The following is a 25,138-nucleotide window of genomic DNA, read 5'->3' on the forward strand; positions in this document are numbered from 1 at the left end:
TTCAATAAAAGTTGCAGTTTAACACCACTGGCTCACCCTTGAATTCTTTCCTAGGTGACGCCAAGAAGGCTCCCAGGCTAAGCCCCAATTTGAGGGCTTGCCTGTCCTGCATCAAACCTGCTATATACTGTAAGATGGTAGTTTTACTTACAAATGTCAAACATATAAAAAATATTTGTGTTTCATTTAGGACTCTTTTAACTGCAAGTAACAGCCCAACTCAGGCTGGATTTAAAAAAAGGAAATTGTTGGTATATCCAAATGTGCTGCATCTGAGCAGGCTGCAGAGTTTAGGAACCAAACACTATGGCTAGGACCATTTTTTTTCACTCTGTGTGAGTCGTAGCTAATTTATTCCTTAAAGGTGGCCAGCTGGCTCTGGCTCAGTGTGCTGCTGGATCTAGCTCATATCAACTATTCAGAGAAAATTGTTAAATTTTCAGAAAGTTTGTGAATCTATTGTTAACACAGCCATTATTTGAAAAAAATAAATTATATAAGATTATAATTCAATAAATTATATTTTTAAAATGTTATAAATACTCAAAATTCATGTCTTCCTATTTTACATTTTATATTTTCTATGCTCTTGAGGTGAGTTTCATCTATTGTACTTACGTCTACAATGGAAATACTATGATGGTCAGCAACATTATGTTAGAGCTTGAAATCAGCATGACGGAAGTGTTTCCACCACACGAATTGGCAAATGCTACAAATCAGAGTTGTTTTTCGAGAGCCAGTTGTTAAATATTCACCACCACCATTCCAGCTGCCCCGGACTCACAGCCCCTCAGGTTCAAGTACAGCAGGATAAAGATGGCACCCTCAAAAGTAATGAGATTCACCCTGATTGGATATTTTGTCTGTCTTTCCATCTCTGAGCCAAACACCAAAGCCAGAGGGAAAGTAATACCCTATCCTCCATCCTAGAGCTAGGTTAGTACACACCCAAGCCTATATATATAGGGTGATCACTCCATGACTATCAGGAGATGTCACTGGAAGAAGGGAAAAATGGCTGCTGGGGAAACGTCAAAGTATATCCACCATAGTTGTCAAGCAGTAGCTTACACATGGTCTCAAGGGCTCCTTCTTTCATTCCTCATTGATAAGAGGCATGTGGTTCTGGACCAATGAAGCTCTGGTAAATGGGGTGAGATGGGCAGGTTCTGGTGCAGATCTCTTCCCCATAACCCCCAACCTCTCTTTTTGGTGGGATGATGTCCCCGCTGTCTTCTCCCTCAGGCCTGTTTTTTTTTAATGCTCACAGCTTGGCTCCAACTTAGATGAATGGAGCATGCATTTATAGGTTGTGTAGGTTCCTGAGATTTTTTAAAAAATGAATTTATTTCTTCCTTTTGAGGGGTTCCTAGTCAAATGGAGGAGACATATACAAATAAATAATAACCAAATGATGTAAAGTGTGCTTTCACAGACATATGGAAAAGCTGCACTGGGGAAGTTCAGAAAATTAGGGACAGACTCCCAGAGAAGAGGACATACGTGAGCTGGACCTTTACATCCAAATAGGTTTCCTGTGTGGCTAGAGGAGCACAGAGAAGATGTTCCATTCCAAAGGAACACAGAGAGCTAAGGTACCACAAGGTCACCTGGGTTCCTTTACTCCACCCTTTTTCCAACACCCTAGACACCCTAGAAAGATTTCCCTTCCTCTCTCACTCTCTTTACCATTCTGAGCCAAAATAGAACCCAAACATGGGAGCGACACAAAAGCACTGCTGAATGCAGACTGGTGTGGAGGATGAAGAACATGCCCAGGCTTTAAACTGAACACGCAAAGAGCCTGGGCCATTGGAAGGACCCACAGGCACCTTGGAAATCCCCAGCTGCCTCCACCACAACATCAGGTGAAATCCATTCCTCTTCCAGTATAAGCATTCAAGGCCAACCATTCCTTGCTTTGTTAGCTTTTCTTTTTGGCTCAATTACTGTATCAGCACAGAATCATTTTCTATTTTCATCTCCAGGGCAGACGTTTCTCCAACAGTCTTTTGAGCCTGGGGACCAAAACACCATTTATAGCTTTGCTTCTATGGGAAAAAGTGCTTTTAAGTACCAAACAACTGACTTACAAATAAATGATTAAACTCAACTGCCCTTAAGCAATGAGCTTCCTGTAATGTTTTGCACAGTTCAGTGCCAAAGGCTAATGTGTGTGTGTATGTATGTGTGTGTGTTTTAACATTTCTAAATATGGGCGCCAGGTGTTGCATTTTCAGACTGACCGAGTGTAACTTTTTTCTTCTTAAAGCAACAGAGTCGTTTTTTTTTAGTGAACATGTATCTGTTTAAAAGAAAAGGTGAAAGAAATGGCAGGGGCCACAAAAGAAAAGCAACACTGAAACTTTAGTGGAGAAAGATATATTTGCACCATATAAGAAAAGAGGTTAACTTATTTTTAAAACTTTATTATTACAGATTAAGGCAAGCCTGCAACCATAGGGAAAGTTCAAAGATCAAAACCTCCTGCACAGCTTGGTTTTACTTTGAGTCCAGCGACCCAAAGAGATCTCCACGATGAGGTTTCTAGTCTCTTTCAAAGCAAGCCCAGATGAACAAAAATTTTAAAAGCATGCTGTGAAGATAGTACATAAACTGTGTCCCCGATAAATCAGTATCAGGGTGACCCCATCAGAAGGAGTGACCATGCAAATTGCTTTTTTGCATCAAAAGAAGACGACAGGGCTTAGTGCTTGATTCATTTCAATCTCCCACTCCTTGATTCCTCTCTGTTTCTTTTCTATACCCTTGACTGATCTTCTGTTCTCAGTCTTTTCGTTTCTCTCTCACTTCCTCTAACAGCAGGATATGATATAGTGAGAATTAATACTCCCAAACAAAAAAAATTAACTATAGTTTTTTTTATCCTTTCAAAACAAAACCATTTCTTTACTGCTGTTCTTTCAAGATTCATGATGTTTGTGTATACTGGCATGATGAAGCATTTTTCCCTGTATGCATTGGTATATGATTTTTCTATATCCCTGAATGGTAGGTATTTTAATAATACTGATAACTATCAAATTTTTTAAAACTTGCTTGTGGCCAGGCATGGTGGCTCACGCCTGTAATCCCAGCACTTTGGGAGGCCGAGGTGGGTGGATCACCTGAGGTTGGGAGTTCGAGACCAGCCTGGCCAACATGATGAAACCACATCTTTACTAAAAATACAAAAAATAAGCCGGGCCTGGTGGCAGGCGCCTGTAATCCCAGCTACTCGGGAGGCTGAGGCAGGAGAATCACTTGAACCCAGGAGGCAGAGGTTGCAGTGAGCCGAGATCAGGCCACTGCACTCCACAGCGAAACTTCATCTCTAAATAAATTAATTAATTAAATTAAATTAAAACATAAAAACTTGCTTGTGTTTTTGAACAAAGTCCAATATTTCATGGAGAGCAGGACTGGCTATGTATGTTGTGAGATCCAGTGCAAAATGAAGATGTGAGTCCCCTTCTTCAAATTGTGAGACAAGGTGAGAGTCTTCTGAATGTAGGGCCCTCTGTGACTGCACAGGTCCAGGTCCATGGAGCGGGCTCTGTGGGTGGGTTTTTATTCATGAGAGCACACACACACGGACACACGTACAATTCTCTAGACTAGTATAGAATTAACCAAAATTCACCATGAAAATTAAATCACGTGACCCCCATCAAAAAGGCCAAAGTATCCTGTGCTGGTTTCCAGTATACTTCTTGAGAATTCACTTACCATCATTGACAGAGAGAAAATATTGTTGTAATTCGTTACAGCACCAGGACCAACTGATGAGTGGGATGTTTTGGGTAACTTGTTTCCAAATTTTTAAAACTTAATAAGCATACGCAAAATGTGCTCGACAGAAAAGGAATTTTAGAGCCACCTTTCCCTCAGGGCTGGGAGCATTTGTAATACTGCGTGTGGAGGGCTCCAGCGCAGGGAACCATGATTGACAGCAGCCACCATGTGATGGATGGATGACCAGATTGATGTATTGATAAGGCCAGGCTTGCAGAAGAGAACTCTGAAGAGCAGGTTTTTCTGGTTCCAACAAATTAAATCACAGTCACATTTTTCTTCAATTAGTGACCCATATCTGTTTTCACTTTCTCCCAATCCTTCTGCTGGTCCCATGGATGCCCCCTCCCCCTTAAGCCCCCACTCATTGTCCCCACCCCTTGTCACCTGGACATTTTTCCTTCCCCTGTGATAATGGAGTCATCATCCCATGTCCTTTCTTGCAAACTTGACAGGGTATTAGAGGCATCTTCTTCCTCCTAGGCTTCTGTTGCCTTTGAAGTGAGGTAGAGCATTTGTCTATGGGATGGGGAAGAGTGAGTGTCCAGATTCCAGTTGCACCTCTCGATTGCAGACAATTTCTACTGCATCTCCCAAGGGCAAACACAAGTCACCATCATGAATTTACACTTTGTTCTCAATTGCCCACTCCAACCTCCTATCTAGAGTCACATAAGCATGAGAAATGAATGTTGTCTCATTCAATCTTTATAATCCCTTGGGCACAGATGAGAAAAAGGCTTTGGAGAGGTTAAATAACTATTAATAAGAAGAGGGATTGTGATTCGATCACTGCATTAACTGACTCTCACCATTCTTCTGTACTGTCCACAAAACTTTGCTATAAATTATAAAACAAAAGTTTAACTAGATAATCATTATATATACAAGATTCTAAATAAGCTAATTCACTCTCCCTATGGTTTCCTATTTTCTACCTCCTTCCAGATCATTCTTCCAGGTGCGGCCTCAGCTCCCTCTCCCTCGAAACCCAGTGGATGATTCTAACTTCCCGGTCACCTCTTCCTTTCCTACCAACCCCCCACTGCCACTCAGAAGCTGTCAGAAAACACATTTAAGCAAACTAAAAATAGCAAACCCAGAATACTCCCCAGCAAGGAGAAAGAAGCTAATCATCTTCAAAGAAGCTGAAAGGATTTCAAGAATGGTGAAACATTCACAAATATAGAATTGTGTTGTATAAGTTAACTGGCAATGCTGTACCACCTTGTAAAAATTCAGATAACAGCTCATGTGCCTGTAGTCCTGTACAGTTTATAAAGCACCAATGCACTTTAACTGCACAGCATATTATGGCATAGATGCCATTATTAGGTCCATTTTTACAGAGGCGAAAGCTGAGGCACACAGCAGTTGCATGACTTCCCCACAATTAGTCAATATGAGAAGTGAAGTCAGGTTTTCTAACTTAAGAGCCTGTGTTGTTTCCACTCTCCCACACAGCTATTTGTTGAATTAAATTTTCAGATCAATGCACTTTTATTTCTTCTTTTTCCAAATAACAACAGATACAATTCAGAAAGAGCTAAGAGCCTCATCTAACATTCTGCAGCTTAGACCTCCTCCTGCTGCCAAATTTAGAAGTCATGGACCTTCGTGTATTCTTTCAAAAGTTAACTAGGTTTTAAATAAGTGGAGAAAATATGGATTATTTAATAAAAGAATCTAGGACAAGTAGGAAGCTACTTGGGGGAAGAGAAACTTGGATCCAATACCTCACTTGTTACACAAAAATAAATTCCAGTGGATTAAAGATTTAAATGTGAAAATAAATCCCTAAAAAACCTAGAAGAGAACATCATTCCCATCCCTCACCATCCCACTCCACCCCATCCCACCCGCTGCTGCTTAGGGTTTAGAATCTCTGAGTGGGAAAGGGCTAAGTATGACACAAACAGAGAAGCCATAAAGAATAAGATTGATATATTTGACTACATTTAAAAGATCTGCATGTTTAAAAGTCACCACCATTAACCAAGTCAGAAGTCAGAAAACAAATCGGGGGAAGTATTTGAAACCTATACTCAGGAAGAAGACTAATTTTGTCATATATAAGCAAATCACACAAATAAATAAGGAAACACACACACCCAATAAAACATAAGCAAAAGATAGAAAGGATGGTTTATAGAAATACTCGTAGCCCTTAAATAGATGAAAAGATGCACAACCTCACTCATATTGAAGAAAAAGCAAATGAAAACTCCACTGGGATAGCTTCTTCTACATTTCATATTTGCAAGCAACCCAAAGTTTGAGAGTACACCATGTGTGATGAGCGTGAGACAACGGGCCCATCACCTCTCCGGTGTGTAATCTGAGTGTAAACTGGTACATTGTCAATGGAGAGCAATTTGCAGATTGGCAATAGCTATACAAATTTAAATGCACATATAGAGGATTTAAGCAAATTATCTGTCATCAAAATGCCATCAAGTGTAAATGATAGAACTTGGATTTGACTCCAAACCCCATGCTATTGGCACAGTCCAGAGCTGGAAGACTACACAACCAGAGCAGCCTCTATCTACACATTAAACAGCTATTTAATATGTACCTATGAATGCAAGTAACATTTTCCATTTTTAATATTTAAATTTTCCTATAGATTTAGGGGGTGTAAGTGTTGTTTTGTTACATGGATATAATAGTTATAAAAAGTCCAGGCTTTTAGTGTAGCCATTACCTGAATAGTATATATTGTACTCATTCAGTAATTTTATAATATCTCCCCCTCTGTCCCACACCCTTCCAAGTATCCAATGTCTATTATTCCACTCTTTAGGTCCATGTGTACACAAGATTTAGCTCCCACTTGTAAGTGAGAACATGCAGTATCTGACTTTCTGTGTCTGAGTTATTCACTTAAGATAGTGGCTTCCAGTTCCATCCATGTTGCTGCAAGAGACATAATTTCATTCTTTTTTTCGTGGCTGAGTAGTACTCCATTGTATATTTCATATATATCACATTTTCTTTAACCAATCATCCATTGATGAACACTTAGGTTGATTTCATATCTTTCCTGTTGTGAATAGTTCTGCAACAAACATACCATTGTAACACATTCAATTTTTAAAAACAGACTTATTTTTTAGAGCAGTTTTAGGTTCACAGCAAAATTGAGCAGAAGGTAAAGAGATATCTCACACACCTTGTGCCCTTACAAATGCATAGCCTCCCCCATTCCCAGCGTCCCCCACCAGAGTGGTACATTTGTTAGAATCGGTGAGCCTACGCTGATACATCATTGCCACCCAAATTCTGTAGTTTACACAGGAGGGTTCGCTTTTGGGTTTGGGTAAACGTATAATGACCATTATAAGTGTCATACAGAGTAGCTTCACTGCCCTAAACATCCCCTGTGCTCTGCCTAGGCATCCCTCAACTTCTTTAATTTTCATGATAAAATTGGAAGAAAAGTGTTTATTATGTATGTTTTATGTATGAAGAGACTGCAGCTCAGAGAGGTTAAGTTTATTGCCCACAGCCACATAGCTGCTAAGTGGCAAAACCAGGCTCAAAGCCAGGGCTAGCTTTTCTTTCTACAGAACTGCTGCCTCCAACACCTGCCTCTGCCCTGAGCATGTTGCCCTCTAGAATCCGAAAAGCTCTGTAGGTGGAGGGACTTGTGTTACAAGATGCTGGTCCTCAAGATTTGTTGGTCAAATGAATGAATGGTGTAATTCTGATGTTTGCCTTTGCAGATAAAGAGAATGCTGCCTTTTTTCTGCACAAAGAAAAACAATTACAAAGCAGAAAACAAAGCAGTGAAGGCTAAAAGGAATATTAAAATTTTCTGAAATAAAGTTAGTTATTCACAGTAAAATACTCCAGACTTTCTCCAACAGGGCCTTTGCTTTATAACCCAGAGGACTTTTAGGATAGAAAATACTGACACCAAATGGTGACAAGTAGAACTCCCATGTCTGGGACAATAGAAACATCTGAAATGAACTCTGCTCTGTCTGGCCGGCTCACTGAATGACTGCACTAGTTCCCAGAAAAATTGTCTTGTCAACAGCGCTCAACAAGTTTCATTTTGCCGCATTTCCCACACTTGTATGTCAGGATTTGCTCCCAAGAAGCCGGTATTCCTTCTCTGCCACCAGAATCCCAGAACACGCCAGGTGCAGCCCACTGTTGGCTGCACTCTTAAGTCCTAGTTTTCTCTGCCTTGGTCTACAGTGCGTGAATGTGCATATCCACATATGCACATGCAAATGGATGTATGCATGTGTATATTCATAAACTCATGTTTCAGGGTCCAAAATCCCTCACCTTTCCTTATGTATACAGAGAAAATGTGAGCTTTGTTATTTTGTCTATAGAAGAGCTGATTTACTTTCTTCTTGCTGGGATGTGGGAAAAGAACTAAAGCTTAGTTCCATCTTGCCATTTCAGTCCAATCCAATAGTTTTAACTGTCCCATCAGATAATTCAGTTTTCTCTGCTTTGATAACTTCAGGAAATGTAATATCTTTCAAAGTTCTGTCCCTTCCCTTCAAGGTGGTATCCGGGTACATGGGAGACGCATGTGGCTATTTGTCTTTGTGGCATTGTAGAACACTGTCTCATGGGTTGGCTGGTGAAGTGGAGCTGGTACTCAACAGGGAGGAAATACCTTCCAATGCCCTGCTTTCTGCCATCTGGCAAGGGCTTGGTGGTGCAAGTTTGAGTTGTCCAGACTATAAAGGAAAATGCCTCACCAATTAAAAGTAGTTGTTTAATTTAACAAACCCAAATATCAATAGAGAGTAGGGAAGGAGTCTATGCCTCTCTATCTTTTTAGCTTTACATGAAGGAGGACAACTGGAGTTATCCATCTCAGCCGTGCTCAACAAATATTCTAAACCAGTGGTTTTTCAAGGTCGGTGGCACAGGAGGATAACTATGGAGTTTGTAAAAAACATGAATACTCACCCCCACCCCCACCCTTTGGGATTCAGATTCTATTAGTGTGCAATGGAGCCTGTTCACTGATATTTTAAAAACTCAGGTAGTTTATTGTGTAGCCAGGGTTGTGAACCAAAGTTCTACACAGAGAACAAATATTTATGTAACAATGTATTCATGTAACAGGCAAACTGGGTTTTTGTTTGTTTGTTTTTGCTTTGTATCCATTGCTCTGGGCTGAATGTTTGTTTCATCCACAAATTCACATGTTTTTGCCTTAATCCCCCATTTGAGATTAGGTGTATTTGGAGTTATACCTTTGGGAGTAATTAGGACATGAGTGTGGAGCCCTCCTGAACGGGATTAGTGCCCTTAAAGGAGGAAACACGAGAGAGATGATCTCGTTCCCCACCATGTGAGGATACAGCAAGAAGGTGGCCATCTGCAAACCAGAGCTAGTGCCCTCACCAGGAAACTTTTCAGCTGGCACCTTGATGTTGGATTTCCCAGACTCTAGAATGGAGAGAAATAAACTTCTCTGGTAATTTTGTTACAGCATCCTGAAGTGACTAAGACACCCTGGTGATCTGGGAGACTCCAATGTGTGGAATTTACCTAGTTTTCCTCTAAGAGCTGCCAGCCTCCTCTTGGATTTTCCTGGCACTCTTCCCCTTCTCTCCCTGTGCCCTCCTCCTAAGTTATCTAAGGCAAACCTCTTCCTCCAGTAGAAGTTCTTTCTGTTGGACACTCTTCTGCCCTTTCTAATAGAGCTGAGATTTACTAGTAGTACATAGGTTTACTTCCGCTGAGAATAAGTAATCTGCTCTCTCAGAAGCTTTGGAAAGGAGCTAGGCCCTTTTTCACCAAGTTAAAACATTTCAGTTAAATATAATCACACCATTTAGCACCTAATTATAAACTATTACCTCCACAATTTAAAAATATTGAATATGAGATTTTGTTATTTTTAAAAAGTAAACAATTACTCACAGAGCTTTATAAAAAAAGATTACTATGTTGAAAGTGAGTCCCTACTTCCCCCTACCCCCATCAAATTATTCTCTCTGAGAAACACACGTTTAAAATAAATCTCAAATTCGTTGCATTGAGAGCTGAGTTTGGTACCAAATTCACGATGTGACATTGTTTCTGCTGGGCCGTTGAACCCCTTTTTCCTCCCAGGTGGTGATGAAAGACTTTCACTTCCTGGCAAAGAATAAGAGAGGGTTTTGGCTGCATCCCCAGCAAAACCAGCTTTAGATAAATGGTTTGGCACAAACACTTGTGGGCCTGAGCTCTCCCCTTCTATGCATTAGGGGTGTGTCACTGACAGAATTCTCACTGGTCTCTCTGGATGGAAGAGGAATGGTGTTCACAGCCTATACTTTGGGCTGTCATCTATGTACAAAGACATGTGCTAAGCCCTCTAAGACATACAAAGAAGGTTACACTCTAAATGGGAAGACGAGCCATACTTGTCTACATAAAGGAAGGTGGTCAGGGGCAGAAGGTAATTGAAACAGGGTAAGTATCAACAATGTGTTATTAAGGTGAGTTCCCAGGAAGCCAGCCCTGAGATGGGAATTTGTGTGCAGAAGTCTATTGGGGATGCCCTTGGGATCATCATCTATGGGAGCATGAAGGAGGAGATTGGGCAGAGAAAGAGTTGAACCACTATTTGATTGTAGTACAGATCTCAGCCAATCTAATAGGATGCTCTAGAGTTAGGCTGGCCCTTCAGAGTTGTCACCCCTTGAAATGAGATGACCTGACCTTTGTAACCTTCCCCCGATCATTGACCAATAAGTGGAGGGGTCTGTCCTTAGGCAAGTGTCTCTCTTTGTCAGTGAGCCATCAGCTCTGCCATTGTCAGTAGCAAAAGGAATGGTGACTCCATCCTGAAGGGGTCTCTGGGCAGCTCACCACAGCATCCACTACAGAGGGAGATCTGTGACCTTGAAGATAAATGTGTTTTTGGTTGTTGCTGTTTTGCTTTTTTTTCTTTGAGATGGAGTCTTGCTCTGTTGCTCAGGCTGGAGTACAGCAGTGTGATCTCGGCTCAGTGCAAGGTCTGCCTCCCAGGTTCAAGTGATTCTCCTGCCTCAGCCTCCTGAGTAGCTGAGATTACAGGTGTGTGCCACTATGCTCAGCTAATTTTTGTATTTTTAGTAGAGACAGGGTTTCACCATGTAGGTCAGGCTGGTCTCAAACTCCTGACCTCAGTTGATCCTCCTGCCTCGGCCTCCCAAAGTGCTGGGATTACAGGTGTGAGCCACTGTGCCTGGGCCAAGGATAAATGTTTATAGCACGAGGGAAAAAGGTACATTAGTAAGGCACTGGGAGTAACTGGGGAATCTGAAGCGTATTGTTATGATCAGTCTCTACTTGCTATTCATTTCACTCTGATAAGACCATCTCAATCCCCTAGTGTTATAAACACTACAAATACTACTATAGCATAAAATGTCCTCCATAAGATCCAGTAAAGAATAGCTGAAATATTTAGCTGACTCTTTTCAAACCATAAAGGTCAAACACATTTCAAGTTTAGTTTAATTCTATTTTACAGTTTTGGTTTTATAACCCAAAACTATTGTTTTCCAATTCACTGTCTAAATAATTGTGAGATTCTGTCTGTCTCTCTCTTTATTTATTTATTTATGAAATCAGATCTGGCTCTGTTGCCCAGGCTGGAGTGCAATGGCACAGTCATGGCTCATTATAGCCTCAACCTTCTGGGTTCAAGCAATCCTCCTGCTTCAGCCTTCTGAGTAGCTGCGAAGACAGGCGTGCACCACCACACTCAACTAATTTTTTTACTTTTATTTTTGTAGAGATGGAGTCCTGTTTTGTTGCCCAGGCTGGTCTCAAACTCCTGGTCTCAAATGATCCTCCTACCTCAGCCTCTCAAAATGCTGGGATTATAGGCATGAGCCTGGCCTCAATTTTTTTTTAAGGTAGTCTTTTTTTTTTCCAGTAGTTTTTGGGGAACAAGTGGTGTTTGGTTACATGGATAAGTTGTTTAGGTGTGATTTCTGAGACTTTGATGTACCCATCCTCTCTCCTTTTACAATGATTTCTTTATGATGTGCCTCCTTGGTCTGGCACATTTATGCCTGTTTCCATCGCTACCATCATTAGTTTCTTTCAGATCTTTGCTAAAATGTCACCTCCTCAATAAAGCCTAATTGGATAATCTTAGACTGCCATCCCAACCCTGGCATACGCTGTCCCCTTTATTTCTCTCTACAGCATTTATCACCATCTGGCCTGCTTGAGATTCTTGAATAATTTTATTTATTGTCTGTTTCCTTCTAGTAACAGACAAGTATGTAAATCCCATGAGGCAGGGGTTGTTTTATTCACTCTGTATTATTAATGCCTAGAAGTGCCTGGCACATAGTAGGCACACAGTCAATATGCATTGAATGAATGAATGGTCCCAGCTGAGGCTTCCACGGTTCTCTTCTGGCCATTTGCAATAGTGACCCAGCTGGAGTAGCAGCTTCAGCTCTCTGCACCTTCCAGGAATCCCGTTTTGGACCACGGGATATACACATCACTGCAGGGCTGCCTTCTGTGGCCCTGCCTCGGGCCTGCCACTGTCCTGCTCAGAAGCTCCCATGACTTCTTAGTGCCAACTCAGGCTCTGGGTGGTCTCTGAGGTCTGCTCCAAACCTAACTTCTCTCCTTTTCTCCCATCTGCTCAAATCCTTCCAGCCCTCCTGGCCCCCGACAGGCTCCCTCTCATGTGAATGCCCTTCCTGCCACCCTTTCCTGCCCTCCTCTGAATTCCTCCAGCAGATGAGTGTAAGGGGGCAAGTTAAACATCTTCCAGGGCCTTCTGAAGAATGTGAGGATAAATGGTAAAGCATTTCACAAAGCCTAACATCTTTAGAGATGACTATTATTGCCAGTATGTCATGATAGTATTATTGTATCATAAACTTCTCAATTCAGTAATAGATGTCTGGAAGGTTGAAGCTAAAGCATCAAGCCACATTCTCCAGTTTACCAGTAATAAAGCTGATCTTGTGACTCTGGTCACAGTGGTGTGCTGGAGTCAGCTGCTGCCAGCTCACAAGAACCCATGGCTAAATGTTCTGGAACTCTGCGAGCCGACTGCTAAACATTCACATGCACCCCACTGCCAACTGACCCATGCTTGTTTTGCAGTCAGTTCATAAGCTGCAGGAGAGAAAGATGTGTTTAACTGCTTACCTTAGAGACGTTATCAGTCAAGAAAAAGAATTAAAAGGATCTGGTGACAGAAGTGAAGGAACAGTTTGGGGAGTGATGATGAGTAGTTCTGTTTCAGGCATTTTGAATAATATTTTTCAGTGGAATGTAAACGGGCCTGGTGCTGAAGAGAGAGAAATGGGCTAGAGATAAAGATTTGGAAGTTATGGGATATTGGCAGGACTGGAGGATTTTACCCCCGGATACCCAGGAGCCATGGCCCCAACCACTGATCCACAGCACAACGTCTATCATCTCACTCAGGCTCTGTTCTCATTCTCTCCAGTGGCCCCAAGTCATATCTTATTATAATTGTCTCCTGATTCCTTCCCTTCTTTCTCCCTCCTCAATTCACCCCATTCATTATTGCCTGATTAATTTCCCTAAGGCACCATTTTGATCACCTTCTGTGTTTGCTTAAACACCTTCAGCAGCTCCTAACTCTTTGCAAATAAAATCCCAACTGTCCTATTCAAATTTGTCCTTGAGGCAAATCCCTGTACTTTCTCCCCTCCATGCCTGATATTCATGCTGTCACCCATAATTTTGTATACAGTTAAGTTTAATAAACATTTTGGAATAAAGACTAGAAGTCACAAATAAGCTGCTGTTGTCCATCAGTTCCATTGTTCTAACTATCACTTCTCATGTTGTAGATGAAGGTGAACCCCTGTTATAACTAAAATATAGAAATTTCTTGTACTTGTTAGGCACCCAACATATATAGCTACCAAATGCTTCTTAATGGCAAGAAACAAATTTTCCAAGGTTTATTTTTCATTCAAGACACTCTACACATGCTCCTGGCAAGGCAGTTCTAAGCTCCAGAAGACACTTGCTGCCAAGAACCAAACACAGCTGTTCAGGCAACAGAGGAAGCTGGTGCTCGGTGAAAAACCAAACCAAAACAAAACCCTGCCCGCACATTTGAGGATGGCACAGGTCCCAGATCTACACCTTGAAACGAATAGAAGATACAAGATATTTGATATAAAAGAAAATGAAAGTGCCGGAAACAGAAGTTTTCTCTCTCAAACTGACTTCCTCCAACGTGCACAGAGAATAACAACAGGACTCCTAAGGATAAAAATAGTGTTTGCTGATGGGAAGAGGGCTACTTCTCCACTGAACCATGGAAAACCTAAAATCCTCCCCATTGTTTCCTGCCCCATACACTTGTACTCAATAAAGATCTCTAAGAATGATCATGTGGAGACTAAATATTACCCAAAATGGAAAAAATTTAAAAACAATCCCGAACTAAGGGGAGAAGTGGCTGCCTGGGAGCATCAGCATGGAAACCAGTGAGCAGCTGTGTTCTTTGTTTCCTCATAGCCATCATCACCTGAACAGGCAGGAGCATTGGTCACATCTGCCAGCATCATGGGAGTGGCAGCATGAAAGGGAGGACAGAACAGTGGCCCAGCTCCCATGTGGACCAGGCAGGCAGTTGTCATGCTATCTTATTCATCACTTACAATGTGAAGAAGTTGGCACTATGACTGCTATTTTACATGTTGGAAACTGCGAACCCCCCATGGGGTAAGGGAATGGCCCAAGCTCATACATCTGGTAAGTAGCAGGTGGTTCAGGCTTGTGTAGCTCCTGAGGCACCAATACTTCCAGTTGCATTCAAAAGGGTGCTGTAGGTGTTCTACAAAACAAACAAAGAAAAGGTAAGCATGTTGAGAATACAGTGGGCGAACACAGTTTATTACAAACCTTTAATGTTCTAACACACATTGTATAGAGTTTCTCTGGTTTCCCTACACTTAATTCACTGCAGAATTTTTGTTTTGCCTGGAACACTTCATGGGACCAGTGTTCCCATAAATCATTGCAGGACACCCCTCTGGTCTCATTAGAGTCTTAGGTCTGTTTTATTTTTTTGTCTTGTTTTGTTTTCTTTTTTGAGACAGGGTCTCACTCTGTTACCCAGGCTGGAGAGCAGTGGCATGGACAGGGCTCTTTGCAGCCCCGATCTACTGGGCTCAAGTGATCCTCCTGTGTCAGCTCTTCCTAAGCGGGCTGGCACCACTTTTGGAAGAGTCTAGGGAAAGCAAAAGACCATTGGGAAGGATTGTGACAGGATTACCTACAAAGTATATGGGAACACAGGGAAGGGAAGGGGGAACAAGGAGAAACCTGCACTATTACAATAGCAATGGACAGTTCTTGGAACTTGCATGCCAGTGGTCTTTGAAGTGCTTTAGTCCTCATAGCCACCTGTAAGATAGAAATCATTCTAACCCCCATTGCAGAGATAAGGGAAATAAAGCAAAGAAAGGTTAGGTTTTGAATTCAGGTAGTCTGGCTCCTAACACCTGTATTCTATTTGTTCATATTGAAGAGTCTTAAATGGAGCAGAATTCTCCACCAAGTAGCATAAACAAATAAACTTTTGTTAAGACACTGAGATTTGGAGATTATTGACCAATCTAGTAGATCAAGGAGAGTGCTCAACATCTGATGCAAAGAGCTTCAGAAAATCATAGTATAGTAAGAAGAAATCAATTCCTGCTATTGGCAGCAATGCCAAAGAGCATAAGAGAACTCTGTATAGTGTTTTATTATTTTCAAGGCACTTCATGAGCACGATTTAATTTAGTTCCTGAGAAGGCGATGAGACATCTGTGCTCTCAGACCTTATTTCACACCTCCCTTCACCACAGGGGATTGGTTTAACAGACATTAATTGCTGAAAAAGCAAAAAGAGGACATTGAGGTAACTCAGAGAAAGAAACTGCAAGAAGCACACTACACCACTGGGCTGGAGCAACAAAGGGATGGAGCTGGGATTGTTGAAAACTGGAAGTTTGGAGCAGGGCTCCCATGGAGCTGGAACACAGATCTTTAATAAGGAAGTGCTGCCTGTCGTCCCTGGTGCCATAGAATTTCATAGGGAAACCTCTGCAGAGCTGGGGCTCAGACTTTTGAGGAGATGTCACCTAAGTGGTATTGATACCTCTGAAGGGTACAGTAAGACTGGGTCTGGTTGTGCAGAAAAGAAAAAAAGAAAAAGAAAAAAGCTAAAGACTAGAACCAATCACTGCTGTCTGAGTAGAGAACCATTACTGCGAAGACCCTGACCTTTGTAGCAGCAAGCAAACAAAAAAGGTCACCTCTTTCCTCTTATCTAGACTTTCAGTCTCCCTCTGGTATCACCATTGGCAGAGCCTGACATAAAGTCAGCTGGCAAATGAGAAAGAGAATTTGCTCAGTCCCAGCCTCAACCTCATGGAATCCATCAGAAAAAAGGTAGATTTGCAGCTGAGAGATGATAGCCTGATAACCAGACAGGCATCAGTACATTTGAAATTTTTGTTGGTAATGTTTTCAATACCAGTGACTCAAAGCAAATTAAAATGTGACATTGTTTAATATGATATTTTGATGATTTAGTAGTTTCACAAAACATATATATCCGATTTCAGATTGAACTGGAATGTCTCTAAAAACAAAACATAAATTACTACGAACTGACATTTATTGAAAGTGCTACCTTTGTGTCAAGCACTCTGCCCAGCAGGTTATGTGGGCTATCTCAGTCCTCATTTTACAGATGGGGTAAAGCTGAGGCTTAAAGAAGTTAAGCAACTTGCTTTGAAGCTTCAGAGCAATAGAGACAGAATTTTTATGGGCAGCCTGACGAAGCCTGAGCTGTTAGCCACATCTCAGTACTACCTCCCCATTCCCTTTACTGCTTAGGTGGTGCACCTTTACTATTAGGTGGCTATACCTTGGGAACGAACACAACAATCCCAGACTCTTGCTAGAATCATTTACTTAACTCCCTGCTGCAGCACCATTTGGTAGCTAAGACTGCATTCTAACATGAAGCATTCAGCTCTTCAGTAACCAAACACATAATAGTGAGGGTCAAAATAGACTCTCATCTTCCAGTTGATCTCTAGCAAACAGTCATAGCATCCGGGAATTTCAGGGCTGCATTATAGGCCCTTACCAGATGTCTGAATTCCCTTCTGTTACAGCTCAATAAACAGTTATCCAGCATCTGTTTGAATACTTTTCATGACTTGTAACACACAACTGTATAAAGCTGCTCTCTGTATATTTTTAGACAGCTGAGTTACTAAACAGGTCTTACTTGCGGAGAACTGGAATCTATTACTCTACAATTTCCACCTGAAGATTTCTGATTTTGCTTTCTTGAGCAACACAGAGTGCTTTACCCATGCCTTAAGGCAGCTGTCACATGACTCTTCCCCTAATACGGTTGTGAGGTGCTCACGTGTTTTGGAGATAGCAAAAGTCTCAAATAATATGGCACAGACGGCCAGCCATGGTGGCTCACACCTGTAATCCCAGCACTCTGAGAGGCCGAGGTGGGCCGATCACCTGAGGTCAGGAGTTCAAGACCAGCCTGACCAACATGGTGAAACCCCATCTCTACTAAAAATACAAAAATTAGCCAGGCGTGGTGGCGTGCGCCTGTAATCCCAGCTATTCAGGAGGCTGAGGTAGCAGGATCGCTTGAACCCAGGAGGTGGAGGTTGCAGTGAGCTGAGATTGTGTCACTGCACTCTAGCCTGGGCAATAAGAGCGAAACTCCATCTCCAAAAAAAAAAAAAAGGACAAAGGGTGAGCAGAGCTCAGATTGGTTATTGGAGAAGACAATACAGAGGAAGGCTCCTTGGTGGTTAAGAGTAGTCTTTTAAAATCAGACAGATCTGAGTCCAAATCCTAGCTCAATCATTTCTCAGTTGTGAAAATTCAGTAGCTCTGTGACCTTGGGCAAATTGTTTAGCCAAATGAGAAAGGTAGGACCACCTGACAGTGGTATTGTGAGGATCCTGTCAGCTAAGGCTGGTAGGTGCTTGCCTTGGCCGTGTAGTAGCTGCTCAGGAAATGAGATCTATAGAGTGTATTGGTGAAAGACAAATTTAATTTTGCACATAAAGTTATGAAAATGTCTCCTTATGGCAGTGGTTATCATCTAAAAGTCATACCATCCCACTGAAGAAGACCTATTTTAGGGTTTATAACAGACTACTCTCTGGACAACCTTAATCCACTTAAAAAACTAATATATGCATACAGCATTTGGAATCCAAAGAACTGAATTCAAGATATGGCTTGGCCCCTTATTCTGTGATCTTGAATAACTGAGCCTTGGTTCTCTTGCTTATAAAATGTACCTATGTAAGTGAACAGGTGGTAATACCCACCATGAAATACTATGGAGCAGTTAGAAGCAACAGAGCAATTAGAATACGGATCTGGAAAACATAGTTCCAAGTGAAATAAAAAGGTGATTGGCAAAATGAGAAATGTAACAATGCCATTTATGTAAAGTCAAAACAACCACAAGCAGAATATAACACCCATGCAAATAACAGACATCCAGTACAGTGTAATGATTGTCTACAAAAGGAGGAGAATGCAAGTGAGTTGGGAGGTTTAAAGGGGATCAATAAATAAAGACCACAGAAGGGCCTCAGTACATTTAGAAATAAATAACATGCAAACAATGATGCTTCCCTACCTTCCTCACGAGGTTACTCTGAGGAGCTAATGAGATTGTGCGTATGAAAACAAAAGTTAATTGACTGTCTTCATTATGATCTCCATATTGGACAAATGAACTGAACAGAGATAAAAATTCCCCATCACACTTTGGCAGGAAGCTGTTGCCAGGGCAGCACCTGTGAAGCCCTGGCCTGGCTTCAGAGTCTGCTGGTGAGATGACATCAAAACCCTTCGTGTAGGAGGGTGGCAGTCTCCCTCCCTTCTGGAGACACCACCAGATGGGCCAGCCAGAGGCAGCAGCAGCCTCTTCCCATGGATCCACCACGAGCGTCCCACTTGAGCCCTCGGAAGAAGAGACCCCGGCAGACGGGTGCCTTGATGGCCTCCTCTCCTCAAGACATCAAATTTCAAGATTTGGTCGTCTTCATTTTGGAGAAGAAAATGGGAACCACCCGCAGAGCGTTCCTCATGGAGCTGGCCCGCAGGAAAGGGTTCAGGGTTGAAAATGAGCTCAGGTAGGACAGCATCGATCTTGCTTTGTAAATAAGCAGAGGCTTTGTGAACAGCTTCTTGGGAACCCAAGGAACCTGTGTTTTCTTCCACATGTGGAAGAGGTGATCTTCCCACTGGGAGAACAGCAGATTTGAAATCAAAGAACAACTAGTTAAGGAAAACGAGATAAGTGGGGACTGAATACAATTATATTGAAACTAGTTGACACCAAAAGATGAGATAAATTTTTTGTTTTTTGCTTTTCACTCCTATGAGATGTGTTATTTAGGGATGATAAGCAGAACACTAATTGGAAAATTTAATGCTGAACCACTCAATTCTATTCTTGACCAATTTGAACAAAGTATCACTGGGTTCAACAAAAAAGTTTTGGCTACTTTGATGCAGAAAGATGATTTGGTTGCTTGGTTCTTACCTATACATCTGGGCGTGCTAAGGCAGCTAGCATCTGTGGTGGGCGAGGATGACTAGCCAGCTTACCACAGGCACCCAGATGTGGCCTTGACCACATTTTTCCAAAGAGTGGTCCTAGTGGGGTTCTTAGAAAGAGAGATGCTAGGTAAAGATGTATTCACTGTTAAGACAGCTCTGTCCAGGGATGACAGACATCACACTGAGTGAGATGTAATCAGAGCCCAGGCAAGGAGGCGATAGAAGCATTTGGACCACCTAGATTGGTTCACTCACTAATCCACTCACCTTGAACAGCAATTATTCTTGTTGTTTTTCTAACTTCTGTGTAAGCTCTTCACTGATCTCAAATAGATGAAGAGAAAACAAGCAAAATCCAGAAACAAATGGTATTAGAACCTTGACATAAGTGATGGTTCTGGATTAAACTGTTAAGGGGCTTGCAATGAAGGAGTAATGATTTATGCAGTTGACCGCTTTGACTGTGCAAGAAATAAATTGACCACAAATTTTCAGGCAAAACTATAAAAATTTTATGTGAAAGGACATTTTGATTGTATAAATAGTCTTTGATATTTGAAAATAAAACTGACAAGCATGTCATGCAGAAGAAATGTCAGCTTCCAAGTGTTGAGGAGACATATTTCAAAAGTCAATTTTCAGATATGTTAATGTTCGCAACACCCTGATTCATATGACATTGACTTTTCATTCATTTTTTGCTAAAATGCCCCATTCAGAAATTCCTGAATTTCCTATGGCCCTTCTTCCACCTGATTTCTCTTTGCAAGGTCTCCTTTTCTCTCTTGCTGCCTCTCTGTAACCTCCTACAGCCACTCTGAATCTCATTTTCTAACATCCTTTCCAAGAAAATCCTAGATTTCATCTAACTGTTAAGCCTGCCTGATATTACAGACTTACATAGAAGGCTAGAGTTGGAGAAGACAGGAAGATTATATAGGTAAAGAAGCCAAAAAAATAGATTTTTTTTTTTTTTTTTTTGAGACAGAGTCTTGCTCTGTTGCCCGGGTTGGAGTGCAGTGGCACAATCTCGGCTCACTGCAACCTCCGCCTCCCAGGTGCAAGTGATTCTCCTGCCTCAGCCTCCCAAGTAGCTGGGACTACGGACACGCGCCACCACAATCAGCTAATTTTTGTGTTTTTAGTAGAGACGGGGTTTCACTATGTTGACCAGGATGGTCTCTATCTCCTGACTTTGTAATCCGCCTGCCTTGGCCTCCCAAAGTGCTGGGATTACAGGCATGAGCCACCACGTCTGGCCAAAAATAGATTTTTTGGAAAAGAAATTAAAAGCCTTAGCAAATATGGAACTGCTTTTCATGGTAAAGAAATTTGACAAGGGTTAGGCAGGAAGGAAAGAACCAGAAGCACCACTTACTGGAAAGCTCTCCATTGAAACGTCCAAGCTTCCAGCAAGGACCCGCTGATTTATTATAGACACAGCAATGAATACATACAAGGCGGCTGAGGCAGGCACTCAGGGAGATGATGGGAGGTAAGTTTCTTCTGTTGGCAGGACAGCTGAAGAGGCAGCTACATGCCCCAGATGCCTGCTGCCAGGGACCAAGCCCAGCTGCTCAGGCGGCGGAGGAAGCTCACTGGTGCATGGTGAGCAAACTGCCGCTGTGCATGTGATGATGGCAAAGTTCCCAGGCTGGTAGCTCAGAAGACACATTAAATACAAATGTGCTCTATGGCGCAAAAATAAACCACAGGAAGTAGAAGTCCTAGGTCTCAAACGGAATTTCTGTGCATAGATATATAGACTTTAATTGGATAGAGAAATAAAAATTATTGTAGGGGACAAATCTCTAGATACGAAATTTAGAAACCTCAAATCCTGGCTCTGAGCCTCCCCAGCCATGGGGTATGGGACAAGGTCCCCTCTCTCCCGACTGATTTTAATATCCTGATAAATGGCCTATCTGATGTGATCACCAAATGAGATAATGCATGTCAATGTGCTTTGATAAATTAAAACAGTTAGACAAATGTAAAGTGTAATTATTTTCTTGTGAATTGCTGGATCCATTGACCTTTACAGCAAAACCCTAAGGAATGGGCTCTCCCTCCACAATATGAACAAGGTCAAATGATATCAACAAATAGAACAAAGACAGGAAAGAAACCCGTCAACATGTTATAACTGGTTTTTTGGGAGTGGGGGTTGGTAGGGAGAGATTATGGCTGTTTTTATTTTCTGGGTTTTCCAGTTTTTTTTTTTTTTTTTTTTTTTTTTTTTTTGAGACGGAGTCTCGCTCTGTCCCAGGCTGGAGTGCAGTGGCACGATCTCGGCTCACTGCAACCTCCACCTCCCAGGTTCAAGCGATACTCCTGCCTAAGCCTCCTGAACAGCTGGGACTACAGGCACGCGTCAGCACGCCCAGATAATCTTTTTTATTTTTAATAGAGTTGGGGTTTCACGATGTTGGCCAGGATGGTCTCGATCTCTTGACCTCGTGATCCGCCCGCCTTGGCCTCCCAAAATGCTGGGATTACAAGCGTGAGCACCGTGCCTGGCCTCCAATATATTTTTTACAATAAGCATATATATATGTATGTGTGTGTGTGTGTGTATATATATATATATATATATATATATAAGCATATATATGTGTGTGTGTGTGCATATATATATATATATATATTTTTTTTTTTTGAGGCAGGGTCTTGTTCTGTCACGCAGGCTGGAGTGCAGTGGTGCCATCTCGGCTCACTGCAACCTCCGTCTCCCAGACTCAACGGATCCTCTCACCTCAGCCTCCCAAGTAGCTGGGACTACAGATGCGGGCCATGCCCGGCTAATTTTTGTAGAGATGGGGTTCCGCCATGTTGCCCAGGCTGGTTTTGGACTCCTAGCTCCTGCCTTCACCTCCCAAAGGATTACAGGTGTGAGCCACCGTGCCCAGGCTACAATAAGCATGTACTTTAAAAATAAAAATAACAAAGAAAGCTGTTTTTTCAGCTGATAGGCAACAGTTTTCATTGTTCCTAACACATTCTTTGGCTGTCAGAAGGATTAAATTAGAGAAGAAACCTGATTCCTGCTTTACTTGGGCCTGAACACACAAATTAGAAATGGTGTACCTCAAAGTGTTGCACTGTCTGGAGCTATTTCATTCTGCAACATGCATGCAACATAATTGGGTGGAGCTTTGCTAACATTTATGCTATATTGCAAAATACGTGCCATTCAATGTGCCATAGGAAGCTGGTCTTAAAACGTAGATAAGGGAAAGTATTAAAACCCTTGAGGCATTTTTGCATATTTATGAAAAGAATACTGAATTTTATTCCATGGCTAACTTCCTAAATTTTAGAGCAATTTGCCACCCGGGTCAAGCTGGAGAAGGATCAGAACCTACTGCTTGTCACTTTCTTATTTCATCCTGAGTTCCAATACGTGGAGCTATTTTAAAATTTCATTCTGTTATCAACCCTCCTCCATAAACACATTAGTGTCACTCGAGTCCATGTGAAGAGACCACCAAACAGGCATTGTGTGAGCAACAAGGCTGTTTATTTCACCTGGGTGCAAGCGAGCTGAGTCTGAAAAGAGAGTCAGCAAAGGGTGGTGGGATTATCATTAGTTCTTACAGGTTTTGGGATAGGCGGTGGAGTTAGGAGCAATGTTTTGTGGGCAGGGGGCGGATCTCAACAAAGTACATTCTTAAAGGTGGGGAGAATTACAAAGAACCTTCTTAAGGGTGGGGGAGATTACAAAATACATTCGTTAGGGTGAGGCAGAAACAAATCACAATGGTGGAATGTCATCAGTTAAGGCTATTTTCACTTCTTTTGTGTATCTTCAGTTGCTTCAGGCCATCTGGATGTATACGTGCAGGTCACAGGGGATATGATGGCCTGGCCTGGGCTCAGAGGCCTGACAATTAGTTAAGCTTACTCTCTGTGTCTTGACCCAAATCATTGATGCTGAGGAAGAAAATGCACGACCAGGAAGGTTGGCTCTCCACCTTTGCATCTACCTAGCCGTTTAACACTTGCCAAGTTCCATTGTTCAAGCAGCTTGACACCCACCAGAGGATACTGTCATCCTTCCTAGACTTCCATAGTTTATCTACAAGGATGCCACTGGAAGGCATTGTCTTCAGTGAAAGCAAGATGCAGCATCATGTCATCACCAATAAAGGGCTTTGTTAGTACCTACTCTGTGCAGTATTTGTCAGGTTGTGGAGACACAAAATAGTGGAAGACATGAGTCCTGCAAACAAGGAGTTTACAGTCAGACAGGAAAGTCAGGAATTGTACCTTTGTCATCACCTGGAATTAAAAAAGTAGCATAGCATATATTCCAAGTTTGAACAAGTTTTCTTTAAAAAAAAAAAAAAGTTAGCATTTGCCTGCTCATTTTTTACTTTTAGTCTTCTAGTATTATTTTGGTCTAGTTTTATCTAAACTGGCTGCTTGCCCTTTCCATTCAGTCATTATATAATGTTTGACATGTGGATTCTGTCTCACTCATTATCCCAAAACCATCGCCTCCAAAAGTCCCTGGCAATCTCATGGTAGTAAAATGCATTATTTTTTTCCACCTGAATGTTGGTAAAGACTCTCTCCTTGACTAAACTGTAGCATGGCTTCTAGCAGTTAAGGCCATGTCCCTAGGATGGCCCCCTTTAAAATGCCTGCCTGAGAAAGTTCATCACTGCCAGGAGAATGTCCTGTTTATTCTAGCCAAAGGCAGGCAACAGGGAGCTGGCCCGTGAACCCTCTCTTAAAGCAGTTACTTTAGAAAGTTGCAATGATAAATCCTTTCTCTGTCCCTTTGAGATGTAAATCTTCTAACCATCCAGAACTGTCTTCCAAGGATCTGAAAAAAGCAACCCTTCAAAGAGGTAACTCCGACTTTCAGATTCTGTGGGAGGGAGGGCCTAACTTCAGAGGACCTTCCTCTAATTTACACCACAAAAGTTTGCTTCTCCTCCAGGAAAGCTCCAATTAACAAACCCAGATGGCCTAGTCACAGGGACCAACCCCCCTACTACCCCTCAGGGGCACACCCTTCCCCTAGCAGCACATCCCAGTTTTTTAAAAGTCTCATGCCTTTTGTTCCCATAAACACTGGGGCCTCTTTCCTATTGCCATCATTATGACTGAATATAACCATCCTTCCCACTTTAACTAGTGTCCAGCTTTGTTAATCTTTGGCAATGTTCTATTCTACACTTCAAATTTATGGTGTCTGAAATCAAAATATTCAAAGTCATTGTTTGCAAAATAAACAGAACATCAGTCGAAGGAGGTCAGTTTCCTGCTCTAGAAAATAAAAGTTGAACTGGCCACTCTCCAGGCCAGGCCCAGAATCCAAACACAGATTCCCTGGTTTTCTTTACAGTTTTTCTTGCTCTTTCCCTACCACCTTGAGTGCCTTCTCCCTTTACCTCTCTGCTTCCCAGACCTTAGACTCCTGAAAGCCCCCAGAGAGAAGCTTTCCTCCCTAGAATGCTGGTGGGAGTCACTGCCTAGGGTGGGCTCCCAGCTTTTCCTTTTGATGAGCAAAGGCTCTTAATCTCATCCAATTACCCCTCTCTGACTCCACAAGCCACGTGTAGACCTCAGCTACAGACTTAGACAATTTTCTTTCACATAGGAGGCCTCAAGAAATATTTGCTCAGAGAATGATTTATCTGGTGAATATAAAACCAGCCCAAGGAACTTGTGTTTACCAAGAGTAATTTTTGTAATGAATTTTTTTTCTGCAATGCATGAGTATTAATTTTGTAATCAG

The 25,138-nt window shown here is 41.9% G+C and overlaps 1 protein-coding gene across 2 annotated transcripts in view, besides 4 other annotated features; it reads left to right on the forward strand.

Moving 5' to 3' along the window:
• Positions 1,736 to 1,955: an enhancer, noted in NCBI's record as "active region_3825". NCBI's record gives its function as "activates an Ori minimal core promoter by ATAC-STARR-seq in GM12878 lymphoblastoid cells {active_cell/tissue: GM12878}" and the evidence as "EXISTENCE:reporter gene assay evidence [ECO:0000049][PMID:35858748]".
• Positions 2,466 to 2,635: an enhancer, noted in NCBI's record as "active region_3826". NCBI's record gives its function as "activates an Ori minimal core promoter by ATAC-STARR-seq in GM12878 lymphoblastoid cells {active_cell/tissue: GM12878}" and the evidence as "EXISTENCE:reporter gene assay evidence [ECO:0000049][PMID:35858748]".
• The window catches only part of DNTT (DNA nucleotidylexotransferase), a 34,131-nt gene continuing 27,685 nt past the window's right edge, over positions 18,693 to 25,138 (forward strand). For both annotated transcript variants that reach the window (NM_004088.4, NM_001017520.2), the window contains exon 1: positions 18,693 to 18,959. In NM_004088.4, the coding sequence (NP_004079.3) occupies positions 18,757 to 18,959 (203 nt within the window). In that variant the 5' untranslated portion in view covers positions 18,693 to 18,756. The remainder of the gene's footprint in view (positions 18,960 to 25,138) is intronic.
• Positions 22,975 to 23,813: an enhancer, noted in NCBI's record as "NANOG-H3K27ac-H3K4me1 hESC enhancer chr10:98068473-98069311 (GRCh37/hg19 assembly coordinates)". NCBI's record gives its function as "activates a minimal SCP1, AML or CMV promoter by ChIP-STARR-seq in naive H9 embryonic stem cells {active_cell/tissue: H9 hESC(naive)}" and the evidence as "EXISTENCE:reporter gene assay evidence [ECO:0000049][PMID:30033119]".
• Positions 23,814 to 24,654: an enhancer, noted in NCBI's record as "OCT4-NANOG-H3K27ac hESC enhancer chr10:98069312-98070152 (GRCh37/hg19 assembly coordinates)". NCBI's record gives its function as "activates a minimal SCP1, AML or CMV promoter by ChIP-STARR-seq in naive and primed H9 embryonic stem cells {active_cell/tissue: H9 hESC(naive and primed)}" and the evidence as "EXISTENCE:reporter gene assay evidence [ECO:0000049][PMID:30033119]".

This window comes from Homo sapiens, chromosome 10, assembly GCF_000001405.40.
Source record: "Homo sapiens chromosome 10, GRCh38.p14 Primary Assembly".
Classification (NCBI taxonomy): Eukaryota; Metazoa; Chordata; class Mammalia; order Primates; family Hominidae; genus Homo; species Homo sapiens.